The 19997-nt window shown below is 31.8% G+C and overlaps 1 long non-coding RNA gene across 9 annotated transcripts in view; it reads left to right on the forward strand.

Annotated features, from left to right (window-relative positions):
* Positions 1–16619, forward strand: part of LOC105377254 (uncharacterized) — a 33412-nt gene extending 16793 nt beyond the window's left edge. For 8 of the 9 annotated variants that reach the window (XR_938820.2, XR_938821.2, XR_938819.2 and 5 more), the window contains one exon: positions 7237–8239. This is a non-coding gene — a long non-coding RNA (uncharacterized LOC105377254). Of the gene's footprint in view, positions 1–7236; positions 8240–16555 lie in introns of those variants that run through there. The other variant, XR_938827.1, reaches the window with a different exon arrangement.
* Positions 16620–19997: the final 3378 nt, after the last annotated feature.

A 19997-nucleotide genomic window follows, 5' to 3' on the forward strand; every position in this document is an offset into this window, starting at 1 on the left:
CGTACTTCTAGACCCTTGACCAATCATCTAAACCAGTATCCATTATTGATATTGCTTGAGAGATGTGATTAGGCTGAAAAAAAACAGCCCTTTCAGAATTTCTGAACTTTTACAATTAAGTCCTATTCTGGTAGTCAGATAATTCTGCCCTCTATTTGCATATATAGATCCCTTTAAGTACTCTGAAGTCTTCTCATGCTCACTATGCTTTAAATTTCTGATTAGTAGATTTAAACTTACCATTTTTTATCACAAGAATTACAATTAAATTCTTAACAGCTTCAACAATCACTGGCACTCCAGGGTTTCAGTAAACAATAGCTGTTATTATTCCTAAATTTGACCACCATCAATTCTCTTTAATTCCAAACCAGGAGGATGAACTTCCTCCTTTTTCAAGTCCAAGTGTCACCTCAGGGAGCAAGTCTAGAAGACAACTTATATGATTGATGTCAAATCTTTCAAGATTGCCTATTTTTAATCATGTAATAATTTTTATTTTATTACTATTTTATTTTTATAAAATGTTTGGATATTTCTATTTGATTAAAAAAAATATTTTTCATTATATCCCAGCAATACTTTGTAAATATTTTTTACTTCCTGAAGTCCCTCTTTTAGGCTTCACTTTAGGGAAGAAGACTTTGGTATAAATTTTCTCAATTTTTATCTATAAATGTTGAGATTTAACTTTGCTCCTAAATGATAGTTTTGTTCATATGTGTTGACAACTATTTCTCTCAAAATTTGTAGTTATTCTCTACTGTTTTTCTGTTTTCCATTATTTTTGTTGAAAGGTCTGTTATTCTTTCTTTTTTTCTTTCCTTTATATGCAACCTCTCCTTTTCCATTGGTTACCTTTAAGATTTTGTCTTTGTTATCAGTGTTCCTTAGTTCCATTCAACGTATCTGATTTCTTTACACTGATTTTGTTTATAATACTCTGTACTTCCGAAATTAGTGGATTCGTGCTGTATGAATCTAGAAAAATCCACAATTATCTCTTTAAATAATTTCTTTCTTACATTTTTCCCCATTTTTCTCCTTCTCATGGAGAAGGCTTAGAATAACTTCTTCCTCCTTTATCATTACAGGGATCAATAGTCCACACATTGTGTTTCAGGACATCTCTACTTGTTTCTTTGCTGTGGTCCAGGATAGTCTCCTACTCCTCACTCCCACTCCTGCCCCAGCATGTATGGTTCTTGCCTCCAGAGGTCCCAGATTTTTCTCTCTATTCTGATCCATGTTTACCTCTGAGTTTAGCAGCTTGGAATCCTGTCTATCTCTTAGCTGCAGTGGGCTAAGTTCCCATTCTCGGTTTCATTATTACACAGCATTCTGAGAGAACTCTCCTACAGTTTTCTGAGACCAGACACTGGCTTTCAATACTTTTTTAAATGATCCATAGTATAAAATGTATAACATATATTATTCCAGCCTGAAAGTAGGTTCACAAAATATGGATATACTTTTATTCTATTTATATATTTTTATTCTAACCTATCCTTCCCTAACTTATGTTTTCTATTACATTTTAACATGATCATGCTTCTATACTAACTTCAAGTTTTGTAACTGGTAACCAAAATGTTTGAAAATGCATTGTTCTAATAGCTTTATATGTCATATACACTGTAAAGATTTTATTTTTTTTATTTCTAGCCTCATCTTCTTTCCTGAGACTCATATCTTCAAATACCACTCCTAACTTTGCGTATTCACTTGAATGTCTATACATTTAACTTATTACAAACCAAATACTATTTTCTCTCACTAGTATTATCAAATTTCCTCTATTATCCATCTTTTTCATCTCAAATAATGATAATTTTATAATTTCAGTTGCTTAGACCAAATAAATGCAATCATCTTTTTCTCTTGCTTTCACATCTCAAAATATTCAGAAAATTTTCAATGTTCTACTTTTAAAATACCATCATAATCTTATGATTGTTTTTATCTCTCTCTTATCAAACTCTAATTTAAGCCACCATATCCATAGACCACAAGAGGCTTAGAATGGCTCTGTCTGCTTCCATGTGCTCTACATAAGCCCATCTCAACAAGCAGCCATTAAGATATATTGGAAATCTAAATAAAAGTATACAGTTTTTCCACTCAAGACATATTATAGCTTTTCATCTCATTCAGAGACTTTCCATGGCCTAATTGGCCATAATTAATACCCCATTCGTATGCTAACAATGATTTTTTTTGTCTTTCATCACACTTCCATTTGTTAATACTGCTCCAGTTGGTTTGGTTTTCTTGTATTTCCTCAAAATGACCAATCAATTTATTTTAGTGGAAATATTTTTTCCTCACAAACATATGGACAGTCCCCTCACTTTTTCCAGTGTTTCCTTAAATACCAACTTATTACAATATATTTCCTGCCTTATCAATGTAAAATAATATTATTCCCCATAACTCTTTTTCTAATTGCACCACTATACTTTTTCCTTGTAGTTTCTATGACTTCAAATGGGTTTATTTGTTCACTTTTTATTCCTGGCTGTCTTCATTAGAATATAATTTCTGTTTATTGCTGCATTTCAAGACTTAGAAAAAGTGTACCACGTAGCAGGCACTATCCTATACCTATAGATCACTCTTAACTTATTCAGGACTTTTATGTCCTTCAAATGCATTGAATTATTTTTGTTTATGCAGGTTTGTTTCTTGTTACCTTCTCTCTTAAATTTCTTTTCTTTTTTTTTTCTCTTTTTTTTTTTTGAGACAGAGTCTGGGGCTCTGTCGCCCAGGCTGGAGTGCAGTGGCGCGATCTCTGCTCACTGCAAGCTCCGCCTCCTGGGTTCACGCCATTCTCCTGCCTCAGCCTCCCGAGTAGCTGGGACTAGAGGCAGCCGCCACCATGCCCGGCTAATATTTTTTGTATTTTTTAGTAGAGACCGGGTTTCACCGTGTTAGCCAGGATGGTCTCTATCTCCCTACCCCGTGATCCGCCCGCCTTGGCCTCCCAAAGTGCTGGGATTACAGGCGTGAGCCACCACCCCCGGCCCCCCTCTCTCTTAAATTTCACAATTGCAGATATTCTAATAAACTTAGACAAATTCTATTTATTTTTATTTTTAAAAGCTAGTTTATTCTAAAAGCCTGTGACTCTTTGACATTCTTTTGTTTAGGTCTGGTTATATTAAGGTGTAATTTACAAATAAAAATTGTATATACTCAAGATGTACAACATGATGATTTTATATACTTATGCTTTGTATAACTATTACTACAATTGAAATAACCAACATATCCAACATTACAGTTACCCTTTGCATGTGTGTGTGGTAAGAAGACAAGATCTACCTTCTTAGTAAATTTAAAGTAAACAATACAGTATTATGATTGTGACAATTTGTCCATTAGCTCTCCAAAATGTAGACATCTTATAACTGAAAGTTTGCACCTTTGACTATCGTCTCCCCATTTTCCTCATGCCCCAGCTTCGGACAATCATTGTTCTACTCTGTTTCTATGAGTTTAACGGTTTTTACATCCTACACATAAGTGAGATCACACTGTATTTGTCTTTTTACGTCTGGCTTATTTCACTTAGCATGATGTCCTCCAGGATCATGCATGTTACCACAAATGACAGTTTTTTATTTTTATGGATGAATACTATCTTATTATGTAGGTATACACATTTTCATTATCAATTTATCTGTGGGCAGACACTTAGGTTGTTTCCATATCTTGGCTATTGCAGATATTTCTTTGAGATCTTGATTTTATTTTTTTTAAGATACTATACACGGAAGTGGGACTGTTGGATCCTATGGTAGTTCTAATTTTAATTTTAATATTTTTATGCATAATTTGTCTTACCTCCTATTAAATGGTATCATAACAACCATGTATTGAAACTCTAAGTTTAAACTAGCTTTTGCTCATTTTAAAAAATTATATAATAGCCTTCAAAAAGAAACTTAGGCTTCTTTAAGAAGTAAATATGGTTTACAAAGGCTAGAAGTAACAGAGTTTGAGATGCACATTTTAATTCAGAATTGCTTTATTCCAAAGCCTATGTTCTTAATCATTCTAGCATATTGTAATATATGCTAGAAAGTATCTCAAACATGTTCGTGTTTATACTTACTGATATAATTTAATATTAATACTTTTAAATCATTTATTTAATATTCTTTCATGATATCTATTTCATGAGCCATATCCACATAAGTATAAATAACTCATGAATGTATCTAACAAAATTGTTTCATGACACAGTCCTGTAGTTCAATGTGATTTTTACAGATGAACTGAAAGAGTTCACTAGTTGTTAATGGTATCGTTTTTTTTTTCCTCATCTCCACCTTTCATTCTTTCTAGCCTATAAGCTTAATTAAAGTATTTAAAATATTTGTGGGTTTATTTCATAGAAATAAATATATAGGTAATATTTAAAACTAATAAAGATTTTTATGGCTATATTATGAACTTCCACAAGGCAATAAATCATGCTATTATTGGACTTTTAAGTCTGTCCTCAATATTAAGCTCTAAAATAGCAAAAAAAAAAAAAAAAAAAATAGAAAAGAAAAAAATTCCAAAAATAAGCAAAAAAATCCCCAAAACTAAGCAAGATTCTCCCATAAGATTTCACTATTAATTTACCTATTTTTATAACATGATTCTTAATAAAGCACTGATAATACAATATTTTATTAATAAAATTTCATAAAATATGTTGTTTAAACTTAATAAGAATGATGAGCTTTTTTTATTGGCATTCTTATTTAACTGCATATCTCTTTTCTTTTTAACCATAGCGAAGTTTGCAGAACAGATGCCAATATTAGAAATATTAGATTACTAAATGTCAGAATTATTAAAAGTGAATTTCTTTTTCATTTTAATGCATCTTCATAAGGAAACTTCAGAATAATTTAATTATTTTATTAAAATTACATAAATGACATTAATTTAATTATACCACTGTCATCGTTGGACATGTAAAGGAATTTGACAAGATAATTGAATGTTTGTATTTTCTGACTCCTTACTGCTGCAGCAACATATGTAGCTACTTCTTAATCATGATTAAGCTTCATGGTTAGTTACTCTGATCATTATTAAATACTATCATTATTGTGTATTAGGTTTCAAAGTATTAAATTTAAGGTAGAAGAAATGCACCCATGGACAGCCTCCATTACTCAGGCATATGAATTCTATTTAAATGGTGATTAAGTATATTTACAGCATGTATTTTACAGGTGTTAAAAAGAACTCTACTTAAAACTAAAGTAAAATATTTTGCAATTTAAGTTTTCTTTCTTCCTTTCAAGTTACAGTCTTCAGCTAAGACTTACGTGCCTCCATAACACAATATCTAGAGCTTTACTTTTTTTATTTATCCACAATTTCTTCTATTTTTTGTAGTTGTGGTCGTGATGCAAGAACCTCAGTTTGAATTTGATTTTTGTTCTAGATTCATCATGAAATGTATGAAAGTTGACTTTAATGGGAAATTCTCATGTGCGGCCATATGGAAAGAACTACACTGTAGATTTTCAACCTGGTTATATATGCTGCATATCTTGTTTGACTCTAGATGGTCCTCATGTGTCCACTCTGGTCTAAGGAAAACAGAGCCTAGGACCCGAGTGGAGCACGCCTCTGATTACTGACTCCATTGCTATCCTATCATTCTTCCAGTTCTGATACTTTTATTCTTAGACTCCCTCAACGTGTTTGTTAATTCTTCTTCCCCTAATCCCTTTAATATATCTAATTTGAGGGAAAAATGAGATGCTTTCTTTCCATCCACTCTTCATAACCTGTTGCTAAAGGCACAAACTTAATGTCCTGTGTCCTATGTTAGATTAAAAACAAACAAAAAAACCTAAAATAACAAAAAACAAAGGTATTATTTGGAAATGCAAAAATACCTTATCTGATTTTTAGTGCATTTTTCTTCCCCTAGAATTCTGGCTGATTAAAATAAGGTAGCTGTTTGGCAAAAACCTCACTTGGTACCTGTAAATATTAACTTCTCATATATCACTATTATTTAGCACAGTTCCTGACACATATGAAGTGCTGAACAAATTTTAGCTATTATTATTGTTGTTGTCACCGTAGCTCTGAACGAGAGCACCTAGGATCCAAAGAGCAAGTCTTCTAAATGTTGCCTTTTATCTGAAAAAAATAAAGATTCCAAACTATTTTTAATATCCATAAAATTATTGAAAGTGTTTTTTTACAATACAACAAAATGCAGACCAGTCTTGATAAAATATTATATATACCTGATGACAGTAGTGAGAGGGTAGGGAAATTAAAAAAAATACACATATAGTTTATGTTAAAAGGTATTTGCAATTATTTAATTCAGCATTAAGGCTGGAGTCTATTAGAAGCAGTTTTTCCCATTATGGATCTATAGTCATATGCTCTGTGATTCTTGGTACACCAACAAAGAAACATTGAAGAAATAGATTCCAATTAAAGTAAATCACTGTTCCCTTAAATTAAGAAACATGGGTAAGAATGTAACTGTATCTCTGTCAGTAACTGAAGAATTCATATGGTTCAATCATACTTACTTTATATAAAACATTTTTTAATTTACAATTTATTGTATACAGCATTATTTTCTTAGTATCTCATTTATTTTCTGTTTTTATGAAGCAATAAGGTTTTCCTCTAGTAAAATTCATGAGTAAGCAGAAATATGAATAGGGAATAAACTATTGTGTCATAGTTATTCAACAATTTACCTTTTTAAGGGTGGCCAATAACAAATAAAAACAATAGACAGTGACAAACGGAAAAATGTGAAATATTATATTTAGTAAAAAGTACAAATATTTGCAGGTATTATTCATCTTCAAATACTGGCATGACTTATAATAACAATTTTAAGTAGTTATTTGTACTTGTTTTAGACATTCCATACAAGCCATAACAGCATATGTTAGAAATAGTTACCCAGTAGTAAGCAGATAACTCTTTATATGTTTATGGATTATAATGAATCCATATTCCATGTAGGGCTATGAGGTGTTGATTCTGATTCCACAGGAATTAACACAAGTTAGCTTTTTTTTTTTTTTTTTTGCAAAGGGGGTAGAGAGCAAAGGGTTCGTGGATATCCATGTATAATTGACATAAATTATAACAGCTATTAATACCTGACTCCTGATGATTCACCAATAAACATGGATGAGCTTTTAGGGATTTTTAGGTTGTGTGTTTGTTGTTTGTTTTTAGTTTTTTTAGATCTTTCCTGATTACGAATCCAGTCTGCTAATGTGAAGAAGCCTGGACAAATTTAGAGAACTGCCCCACTGAAACTAACTGTGGTGATCATCAAGAAATGAAGATTGAACCTCAAAAAGATACTACAGAATTCATCTTTGTGAATTTGGGGCTCTAGTGGATAATTAATGGTTCCTGATTGAGATTAATTCAAGGACAATTGAATGAATATCGCAGACCTCTTGACTCACTTAAGAGTTCATAAACAAATACGCAAATTGGAGAGCGGTAGCATTTTGATAAATATTATCCAGCTTTTTTATAAGATGTTAAGAGTCTCCAGAAATAAAAAGCAGCAACAACAACATTATTAAGAGTCAGATACTATTAGGACCACTATGATCTATTCATTGGCTGTCATACCTCCATAACAGTTTAAATTACAAACAAAACCAGAAAACAACTGTTAGCTAGCCTGACAGTTATTTAATTACTATTGGCATTGACAACTTAGATTAATTTATTTTCAATAGGTAGATCTTTAACATTCTTCATCATAGTAGGATTTTGCAGAATTTTATCCCAACTCAGATAATTTTCTTTTTCTAATTTCCTATCATTGAGAAAGATGAAAATAAGAATACAAATGCTATATATTTGTGTGTTCAATTTGATCAAGCACTGATTTTGGGGGATAGTTTATTTTAGTTTGAGACGTTTTTAGCCTTATTTGGCAGATATGCACATCGATTGAATAGACCCATCTGTTGTCCCAGCAATTAGTTGGCTTGCATCTAGATAAATCAGGCATGTATCCAATGTGAGAGGAATCTTCTGTGGGAGGCCTTGATTATGAAATTAAGATGTGGCTTCCAAGAGAAATGCCAACTGAATGTAAGCCATGAGCCTGTGCATTCATTCATGGCATTTTGGGAATTTTCTGAGACATACACCGTTTACTCAAAATATTAATTGAAAAAAGTTCATTTGTCAGAATAAAATTGGCTTCAGATTTGCTTTGAGTAATTTCGTGATGTATTAAAACACCCAAATCACAACTGATAAAAGTATGCCTCACTTGTTAGATTTACTTAAGACTTCTAGAGCTTGACATGTTAATATTTGCATAACTATACAAATATTTTAGCAGAATATTTTCAGACAACTAAGCTTTAAAAAATATTTTTTCTAAATGTTAAGGTCAGAATTGAGAACCAGCGTAGTTCAAGTTGTCACCATCTATCTACTGTTTTATGAAAACCAATGGGAAAAAATAATTACTTTTTTACAAAAATTTCTCCCGTGTTAATTAATTAGGGTAGTGGGCAATTTTTATTTTCAGTGCTCAAGATATGAAAACAAATGTCATTAATAAATATAAATACAATACTTATTAGAAAGTATACTAAACTTACATACATCTAGTATTCCTCAATAAAACTGTCCATCCATTCATATAATAAATCCATATTGAAATCCAATTTTGTGCTGACATTCTAAATTCTGGTGAAAAGTAGTAAAGGAAATATTAAAATTTTAATTAAAAAACATTGCCCTTCTTGCAGGTAGATTGTAAATATAATTAATTTATTAAATAATACTTTATTATATACTAGTTTGCTTGTATAAAATAAAATATTTAATTTATTAATTCTATTAATATTTTATATATTTAACTTTATTATATATAAGTGAACTAACCTATAATAAAATATTATTAATTTATTAATTCTGTTTAATTGCTCTGAAGAAAAATAAAGCAGAGAATAAGAATAGCAGTAGACACTGTATGTTCCAATTTTAAATTGAGTAGACAAAATTTAACTGAGAAGGTGATATCTGAGTGAATACTGAAATGACATGAGAGCGTGAACCCAGCAGATTTAGGCAGTTCAGAGTACCAGAATGAGAAATTAGCAAATTCACATGTCATGAGGCAAGAATGTGCCTGGTGATGTTTGGGAATGCCCAGGAGCCAGTCTTCTGTGGCAGTGGTTAGGGAGAGAGCAACTGGAGATGCAGAAAGGGGTAATGGCCTTTGTAATTACTTTGATTCCTATGCAGAGTGGGATACAGATCATTGGACAGTTTTAAGAAGAAAAAGCTATAGGTTGGATTTTGAAAATAGAAGTGTGATTGCTTCTGAAAGAATTATTTACTGAAGCGCAATGGTGGAAGCAGTAGCAGTAGAAGTGGCAATAAATGATTAGAATCCAAATTTTATGTAGGTAGTGCCTAAAGAATTTGATGAAGATGGAATATATTCCAAAGGAAGAAAGGACTAAGCAATTATTTTGAGTTTTTGGCTTCAGCTACTAAATGGATACAGGTCAAGTTAACTGAATGGAATATAATTTAATTTTTTAAAATTAATTTTCATTTCTGCCTCTTAATTATTTTGATAGCAGAAGTGTAGGCCATTTGCATCTTTCTTTCTCCTCAGACACATAACCCTCATTTACATGTATTGAACCTTTGTAACCCAATTCCATGGATACATCCTATACTAGCAACTATGCTACATTCAGTCCTGTTAACAAGCATCTCACTATTTAAACTCCACTTCTCTTTCTCTGGCTCATTTATTCAAATATATCCCTGAACAAATTCTTCAACCTCATTAAGACTCTAACCTGTAGACCTACACAGTGTTTTCACTTCTGTTGTTGCTCATCTGAGATCACATGATTACAGTTTTAAACACTTCTTTACAATCAGCTTTAAAATGTCCTTTTCTCTGTGATCTCATCTTACTTATCTAACAAAATAATAATAATGTTTCAATTCAAATATCAATTTTCTCCCTTTTGTATCTAATCAACTGTAGGTTTTTTTGAGATTTCCAGGGAGAAAATTAGACACATTTATGCATCTATACTCCTACTCTCTGAAATTACTGACTCATTGTACCGCTATTTCTTTAGATAATGAGTCTCCCTAAATGAGTCATTTATGTGCATGGTTTTAAATACATTTACATGTATTTCCAAATATTTCCAAATAATTTCCAAATATTTATCTCTAATCCAAATCTCTCCCTCAACTTTTAATTAATTTAGCCAGTTGTCTTCTTGGTGCCATTAATGTTTCATATGCAGGTGAAACTTAATTCCAAAATAGAATCCACTTTCCAGTACAACATGTAATTTGTCTGTCTTCATGGAAGAATTATTGATTCAGTTAATGAAGCTGGATATCTAGGATTCTTCATTGATATATCTGTTTTCCTCATCACCCACTGTTTGGCTTGTATTAATAAAAATGTCTCTCTCACTCCCAGCATACATACAGCAAGGATTTTTGATACACACACATGTATGTGCCTCTTTCCTTTTGTGCACAAATAGACTTACAAAAGTTTAAAAGTTTTGGTATAGCCTTTAATCTAGTTTTTAACTATGAATATGTGTGTATGGGTGTGTATGATTCTGTTGGAATATCAGTTTAAGGGGAAGTAATGTGGAGAAAATTTCTTTATTCCTAAATGTATTCAGTTTTGAATTCTAGATTTAAGAAGGAAAAAGTAGTAAAATGAAAAATAAAGATGCTTCATATAATATAGGTATTTAATTCTCAGTAACATTTTTTCAAATCTATTTATAATCTATTTTATAATTTTGTGTAGCACATGACTGATTAAAGTTTTTCTGTACCTTAGTGGTTTGTCATATGTGCTTAATTTATTTCTCTTAAAGTAAATCATATGATGTTATTTAAGCACTTTCTTCTGGAGTGGTATGAGTTTATTGATTCACTTAATTAGATATGCGTAGGCCACAACATATATATAACAGCGGACTTATCTTCATATTGGTAATATCATTGATGAGAAATAAAATAATACCAATAAAACATGAAACCAAACAAGAGTGTTACATTAACCCATGAGCATAGTTTATCATTAATTGAAGAATTCAATCAACTTAATTCTGCATACTTAAAGAATTAACAAAGAAGAAACAATATATTTGGAGTAATATTGTAACCTGAACTATTGTAAAATTCAAAATTCTTAAGAAAGAATAATCAACCTGCTATCGTCTTATGAAACACATGCCTAATTTTCCTTTATAAAAACACAAAAATGCTATTTGCATTATAAAAATATCCAAATGCCAACCAGATTTAGTAAAATTAAGAAGCCATGAAATACGTTAATATCAAAGCAAATGCCACCTTCAGAGGATTCATTAGATGACAGAAAAATGAAAAGTATATGCACACATAGGGCCGGGGAACTAATAACTTACATGGATTATTTTCCCAAGAGACTAGAAGACATGCTTACTCACACAAATAACTCCTGAAGTGTGTATTTGTAATGAAGACATTAGACTAACAACAGTCATATGGATATAAACCTATTCTTTTTATTGAACATAAACACATTCACTGATGAAAATTAATTTTTAAAAACTACTCCTGAATATAATAGCTAATAGTACATTTTTTCAGGCTTTGTTTCTATAATGATGTAACCTATATTTCTGATATAATTAAAAGGAAATATGCTAAAAAAGAATACCTGGTATAATAGTTTTTTTATATTAATTTTATTATTTAAATGGCAGCCTAAATTAAGTGATTTTCTTCTCCCCAGACAGTTTGTGTTGCTCCTGGAAAGTATGAAGCTTCAACATAATCGCCATTTAATTGGCATTTCATAAAACCCTTTTCCATCAATAGTACACTGTTTTCACCCTCTTCAGTATTGGTACTATTATAATACAAACTTTAGAATCCAAATTTAAATTCCAAATTTTCTATGTCTTTATTTTAACTTTTCACAATAATCATGACTTCATTCAACAAATATATACAGGCTTATTTTTTAAACACGCACACACACACATACACGCACACCTCTTGAACAAAATGCCTCCAAATGTTTACAATACATATGTTTAAACTGAGGAGTAATGGGTGATTTTCTTTGTGTTCTACGATTATTTGTATACATTTGCTATCATGATCATGCATGTTTTCATATTAAGAAAAAATATAGTAAAATAGCTGACATTTCATTTTCATTCCTTTTTTTTCAGGGGAAAAATATATCGAATTGATAGTACTTATCAAAATCTTTATTGATGAGAGCAATGATTCACAAACTTTTTACATCGTGATACACACAAAGTATAATGTTTTGTGGAAACATTAGGTTAAACTAGACTTCTGAAGTCTAAAGGCAGTCAGCCTAGTGGGCCAGTGTCTCAAATGCTGAGGCAGGCAGTACCTGGGGACACCGGTAACTCAGAACTTGTACACCAATTTGCCACACCTTGGGGAGGACCTCAAAATTATTTGAAGACATACTGTTTTACCAATATTTCAATTATTCTTCAGAGCATTGCAAATACATTTTGTATTGCAGAGTTTCTATTACTAACTTTCTTTTTTGCGTGTTTGGTGATTAGGATTCCAGAATCAACTAAAAAATGATAAAGTGAGATATTTGTCTCCTAGTGTCCTTTACAGAGGTTGAATATAATATCTTCTCTTAGTTTTATCCTTTTTATCTCTCCTTCTTTTTATTTAAATGCATTTTTCAACATATTAAACAATGTTTAATACTGACAATGATTCTAAAAGAAATTGTATGTTCTTGGCACCTGTGACAGTTTCAATCTTAATCTATTTCAAACTTTTAGCTTTCAAATGAATTGATGTATTTATACTGTGCTTTTTTAAGCAAACATTTATAAAATTCAGGACCTATCCCATAAATATAATTTTCTAAGTTACTGTTATATATTAAGTGGTTAAAAATAAATATTTAAAATTGCTATAATCAGTAACACTAACATACACTAAATAAGTACACAATAAATGTATGAATTCCTAAACAGTGCATAATTCAAATCACATTAAATTAGTCTACTTAATAAAAGAAGTAAATCATATTAGACTATACTAGGACTAAAATAGTGAATCAATTTTCTACATTATAAGAATACTGCTTTGTAAGTTATGTTTTAAATAACCCTTTCCTTTTACCAACCTATTTTTTAAGTTGCCATCAACCTCCCAGTCTCAAGGGATCCTCCCACCTCAATCTCCTCCCTACCCCCAGTAGCTGGGATTACAAGCATGAGCCAACAAGCCCAGATATTTCTTTTGAGCTTGTTATGTAGAGATGGGGGTCTCACTATATTGCCCAGGATTTATTTATTTGTTTATTTTACTCTAAAAATATATTGTTAAACAAAACTTTCTAGCTTTTTTTTTTAACCACAAATTCATTATTTAACCCTTGAAATTCTCTGTACCACTTGAAAGAAACTTCTCTGTCAAGGATATCAGTAACTATCTAGTATCTAAACTTCTAGCATATTTTCACTTCCTTTTCTCTTTGATTTCAAAATCCCATAATCCAGCTGCCTTCCTGTTAAATGTTGAAAGTCTATTTCCTTGACTTCCATTAAAACACTTACCTTTTTTTCTTCGTTTTTTACTGTTTTATCTTTCTGTATGTGTATTTGGAGTTTTAGTGCTCCCTGTGTTAAAGATTGTCAATACCATGGTTCCAAACTGTAGACTAATGTTTTCAAATTATTGAATGTTCAATTTATATCAAATATGGTGACTCTAAAACTAAATTAATTCCCATTCAATAACATCACAACTATCCAGTTAGCCAATTTAGGAACCTATACGTTATCTCTGATTCATTTCTCTCCATTATCTCTCATATTCAGTAAGTTACTAAGCTCTCCAAATTTTACTTCCAAAATAACTTTTACATCCGTTCTTTATTTTTATTCTCCCCAGCACCAGTACCATTGTGCTAATTAAGATGCTTATCTGTCTTCAGGGATATCACGAATCTCCTGAATTCTATTTCAATAGACCCTCATGTTTACAGTATTTTCATCCAAATTGTTACTCAAGTTATTTCTAAAATGCAATTCTGATAAGATTAATTATTCTGCCTAAGATGCAGTCATGACTTCTTATTGCCTAAAACAAAGGTCTAATTTTTGTGTAATAGCATAAAACGCTCTACTCACTATTATGTCAGTTTATTATTTGAAACTCATCCTCATTCTCTTTCACCTAATAGAGGACATTTTATTTGTGTTGGTTACCTATTTCACATTAGACATCCCAAAGGGGTCAAAAATTTCCTTCTTGTTTCCAGGAATATTTATGTTCAACAGTTTTTTAATCAAGTGTTGCTATCAACTGTCTGAATCTTAAAGAAATTAAGCAAAGTAACAGGAAAGTTAACAAATGGTGGCAATAATAACAGAAGTCTAGATACAATGGAGGATTAAATACCAAGTTACGGTGGTGTCCCATGTAATACCATGACTAGCTAAATTTTTTTAGTATTCATACTTCCTTATTTCTGGCTTGCTTTATGAAACCGATTCTCTTCACTTCTCATTGGTTCTGTGAGATATCAGATATCTTCCCATCTGAATTAATCAATATCTGCTTCCATTATTTTCAGCTAAGCACTGCAACAGATAAAAACCCTGCCACATAAGAGCATAAAGTACATGCACATACATTGTGAAATATTATACCAAACTATTATACTGTCATATTTCTGAACATTATTTCCTGTTTTTTCATCCAAAATGTTTCTGCTCATTAGTCAAGAAACATTTATTATGCATTTTTTGCTGTAACAACCTTAAAACCATGAAAGTTTGAGTTAATAATTTACTTAGCTTTATTTCTATCCTATGCTTTACATTTCTATATAACATATATTTTATCATACTTACTTGTGGCTTTCATTTTTCCTGTCTTCTAAACTAACTGTCAAGAGTTATGTGTCATCTGTGTGCGTGTATGGGTGTATGTGAAGATTTTCCCGGGTAGCTATTTGAATATAGGCATTTGGTTGAATTATATAATAAAACATCTTATACGTGAATGTTGCCCAATAAATAACATTAGATGACTAAATGTGTACTTATTTAGAAATTTCTAAGATCAGATCATTTGAAAATCTCTGTAACTAGTAAGTTATTAACTATTACCTATCACTAGATAAAGTAATAATGCTGATGAAAAGCAATGGAAGAAATAAACGTTATACATTCTAATTATGTAAATATTAGTTTAAAAAACACTGGAATGTTTAAATTTAAGGAAATTCCTTTTCCTATAGAATTTGAAATGTAAATTATTATTCATGGGTATATTACATATGCACTCAATATAATATGAAAATAATTACAATTATTACATTAGAATCCCTTTGCTTCCTACTCCACATCTGGTCTTTTGATCAAATTATATTAAGTCCCTCTCTTAATATTGCTAAAATTAATTTTTTACAAGCATTTTTCAAAACTTCTCTTAACTCTTCCATTTTTAAAACCAAACCCTGTGTATACATTGATATACATATATATCAATGCATATTTGGAGTTAACATGTAAACTATTATGAACTAGTTGACTGACGTAGTTGTTTCACAAAGCTAATGAATATTCATCTGTCTTAGCATATTTTTATTTTTTCCAATTTTCTTGTGTCCAAATCTACATTGTGCTGTGCCTTCCTAATTGCACATGATGCAAACTGATTTATAAAAACAAAGAATGAAATGCCTTGGAGCTGACATAATGGCTTGATGTTTGATACATGTGCTGTCCATAGTTGAACTGATCCAAGATATATTCATGTATATTTCAGGAAGCCAATTATATCCACTACTTAGAGAAAAACAATGAGTATTATTAGGGAAAGATAGAAATTGATTTGAAATAATTTGAATTAATTAAAAGAATCATTGCCAACCCTTTACCACATTGATTTTACTATTTTTGTGCTAAAAACCAGATATACAAACGAGGAATGGAAAGAGAAGGGGTTTGGGTTTAATGTGTTCATAATAAAAGATTAATAACCTACTAGTGTGTAAAATGCTATTGACTTGTGACTTTATAGAGCTTTTTATTTCCAGTAATAATAAAAGCCCAACTATGTTATACCTACTTAATTGAATATCATATAGCTATTAAAAATCTACTGTAAAAGATAATGTAGCAACCTATAAAGTACATATCAATTAACTATGGAAAAAATCAGGACTCAGAATTATGATAACACATTTTAAATATATAAAGACACATATGCTAAATATTGCCAGAGAATTGATGTAGTTTGTATATTTGTTGCTGCCCAAATCTCATATTGAAATGTAATCCCCAGTGTTGGGCTGGGGCCTAGTGGGAGGTGATTGGGTCATGGTAGTAGATCCTTCATATTTTGGTGCTGTCCTTGCCATAGTGAGTGAGTTTCCTCAAGATCAGATTGTTGTAAAGTGTGCCACCTCCATCCCCACTCTCTCCCTTGTTCCTGCTTTCAGCTTGTGATGTGTCTAATCCCATTTCAACTTCTGCTATGAGTAAAAGCTACCTGAGGCCTTCCGAGAAGCCATGCAGATGCCAGTACCATGCTTGTACAGCCTGCAGAACTGTGATCCAATTAAACCTCTTTCTTTATAGATTGCCCAGCCTCAGTTATTCCTCTACAGCAATGCAAGAATGGCCTAATGCAAAATAAAGCAATATGCTACCATAGCTTGCTTATTAAGATGATGTGGTAATAAGTGAAGTTTTATATTTAAATATTTTGGTATCTTTTTCCACTTTCTTTGTTTCAATAATCTATTTTATCAGAGAACAATTTTCTTTTTTCTTACATTGTTTTTATTATTAGAAACTGAAGCTAAAATACAAAAAAGAGATAAGCCACAAAACATTTGTCTCTCTAAACCCATTTCCATCTTATTATGACATTCTGTATGAGAGAACGCTGACTTGTTATACTTGCAGCAGGAGGTACAGGATTAAATGCCCTACATCATCTAGGACCTTCTTTCTATGAAGCAGGCTTATTTGCCTTGGTAGATAAGAGCTTGGTAGATAAGATCTCTCCATCAATTGGGACTTTTGATGGATAGCTGCTTTTGACTCCCACTGTGTAGCTGGAACCAGACACATCTTATCAGAAGAAAGCACTGAATCTTTTTATAGTAACGAGACACTTTAGCAATAAATCATTTATTTCTTGGGGCATATGTATCCCTAGTGTCATTTGTAAGCAAGTTATTACCTGTAAAAAGATGGGCTTTTCTGAAGAAAGCCAATGGGCTTAGGCACTGCTTTTTGATGACAGCAGGAGCTGCTCTCAGAAACTTTTCTGAAACTCAACTCACTGAAACAGGTACAGGTGGTATGCACTATTTTCTTGAACCTAAAACAAATGAATGCCACCATATTCCAAGTCACCTGTAAGCCTGTTAATAATCTATGCTCAATACATCAGCTAAAGAAACATTTTAAAACACAATCAGATCAAATTACTCCTAATTTCAAAACCTTGAAATGCTCTTTATTTCACTCAGAGTAAAAGCAAAGTCCATTCTTGCTTTATAAACTCCTAGTGACCTGGCATCATTACTCACTGATTTTTTTAAGTCCACAATTCTTTCTTGAACACTCTGCTCCAGTCATAACCACCAGATCATTTACTATTTAATGAAAACACTGCACAGAGTCAAACTCAGGGCTTTTTCACTGGCTGTCTTCTGTAAGTAGAGTGAGATTTTTCCCAGACATTCACATAGTGACCTTCCCTACCTTCTTCCATTAGTAGGAGTCTCTTTTCAATAAAGCATATTCTGAGCACCTTACTTAAAAATGTACTATGCCACTTGGCACTGGACATTCAGTCTCCACACCTTGTAAACTATCATTTTTTTTCTATAGCAACCATACCCTTATAAACTACTGTAAAATCTACTTATTTATTATATTCTTTGTCATTTTTTTAACCTCATACTAAAATTTAATTTCCATGTGACCAGAAAATATTTATCTGTCATATTCATTAATTCATTCCACATAGAGTTTCTGGAGCATAATAAGTGAGCAGTAAAAAAATTATTGAATAAATCAAATCCTAAACTTTTTTTTTTTTTTTTTGAGACAGCATCTTGCTCTGTCATCCAGGCTGGAGTGCAGTGGTGCAATCTCAGCTCACTGCAACTTCTACCTCCCAGGTTCAAGTGATTTGCCTGCCTCAGCCTTCCGAGTATCTGGGATTACAAGCATGCACCACCATACTCGGCTGATTTTTGTATTTTTAGTAGAGACAGTGTTTCGCCATGTTGGCCAGGCTGGGTTTGAACTCCTGGCCTCAAGTGATCCACCTGCCTCGGCCTCCCACAGTGCTGGGATTATAGGCGTGAGTCACCACTCCCGACCTCAAATACTAATCTTATTTTTATGTATTCCAAAAAGTAATCACCTCCTGCTGATTTTCAACTTCTGACTTCACATTACCTTTTTGTTCAATGCTATACTCAAGGACAGAGTCTATGCTATGTTCCTGGTACTGTGTAGGTAAAATCAATTTAAAACATGGTTTATTATATCTAAAGACCAACCAGCTTTCAATTTCCTCTCATCTGATACTATAACCTCTGGTATTTCTGTGAGAAAATATCTTCCTTTTATGTGATGGGGTCATAACACATCCTCAATTAAGCAGGAGTGGCCCTGAGTCCAGAATGAATAATCAGTCACAATAGATGGATCAGTGTAAAGCAAGTGACCCAATTCATGCCAAAGTAACTGAGGCTTAAGGAAAATTATTAACTATTTAAAAAGGTGAAATCTCTTTTACTCTAAGAAACTTTGAAATTTTAACTTCAAATTTTTTATACTCTGATTTTTTGTTCATGTATCTCTAGACCTATTATTATTCTACCACAGACATACTTTAACATCTAGATCTTGGATCAATTAAATTGTTCCCATTCACTGCAACTAGGCGACTGTTTGTTCATTCAAATGTGTGGAATGGTGTTTCTACAGATATTTTGTTTCTATTCTGAAATGGATCTTTAAAATTCCTCTAGGTCTTTCATTTCCCTGGTCAACTTTCTTTCCCATTAAGAATGTAGCTGTTTCCAATATGTTTCCATCCATTTGAATCACTTCCCAATTACAACTCCAATCAGGCCAACAGACTCCTTAGCCTTCTACTTCATGGAGAAAATATGAGTGTTTTAATTTCTCACATACTGTTAATCAATTTACAAAGTTTGTATTTACCTTTCCTTTTCATATTCTATTTTAATGGGATAGGTGCTTTAACATAAAATGCCAACTCAAGGTTTGGATCCCATTTCTAGCCTCTTCTTCATAAATCTCATTTCATTTATCGTGATTTCTCTCTTTTCTAAATCTCTCATCAACAGTGAGACTTCGTCAGAAACTATTGAATTTCTATACTTGACTAGGCAGTGGGCTAGGGACTAGGACTGTGAGAGTCGTTAGAGTTACTCTTAGCTACGAAACATATTACTTGGTTTGATGAGTAATACTATTCAAATAATCAAACTGAAAATGAACATTATCACAATATATTTCTATAAAAATTCTTTGTTTTATGAGATAATTTAATAAATGATTTAATGAAGTAGGACTGCAGAGAGGCTTCCCTGAAGAACTGATTTTCTCTGATGACAAAGGAGAATAGGCATTTTTGAAATGGTTTCAGGACAAAGTGGATGTCCAAGAAAGAAGTAACACTATATCTGTAGGAGGCGTGACAGATAAGACAAACAATAATAAGTTCAGGATGATTAGAATCCAGAAAAATAAAGAGATTTGTTGATATCGGAGTTGAGAAACTATATACAAACCAACTAAATGACGACTTATTTTTATCACCACATTTTAGTGTTTAAGACTAAACCATCCTAGGTATCTCAAACAGGAAGAGAGTCAGCACAGTAA

This window comes from Homo sapiens, chromosome 4 (genome assembly GCF_000001405.40).
Source record: "Homo sapiens chromosome 4, GRCh38.p14 Primary Assembly".
NCBI lineage: Eukaryota > Metazoa > Chordata > Mammalia > Primates > Hominidae > Homo > Homo sapiens.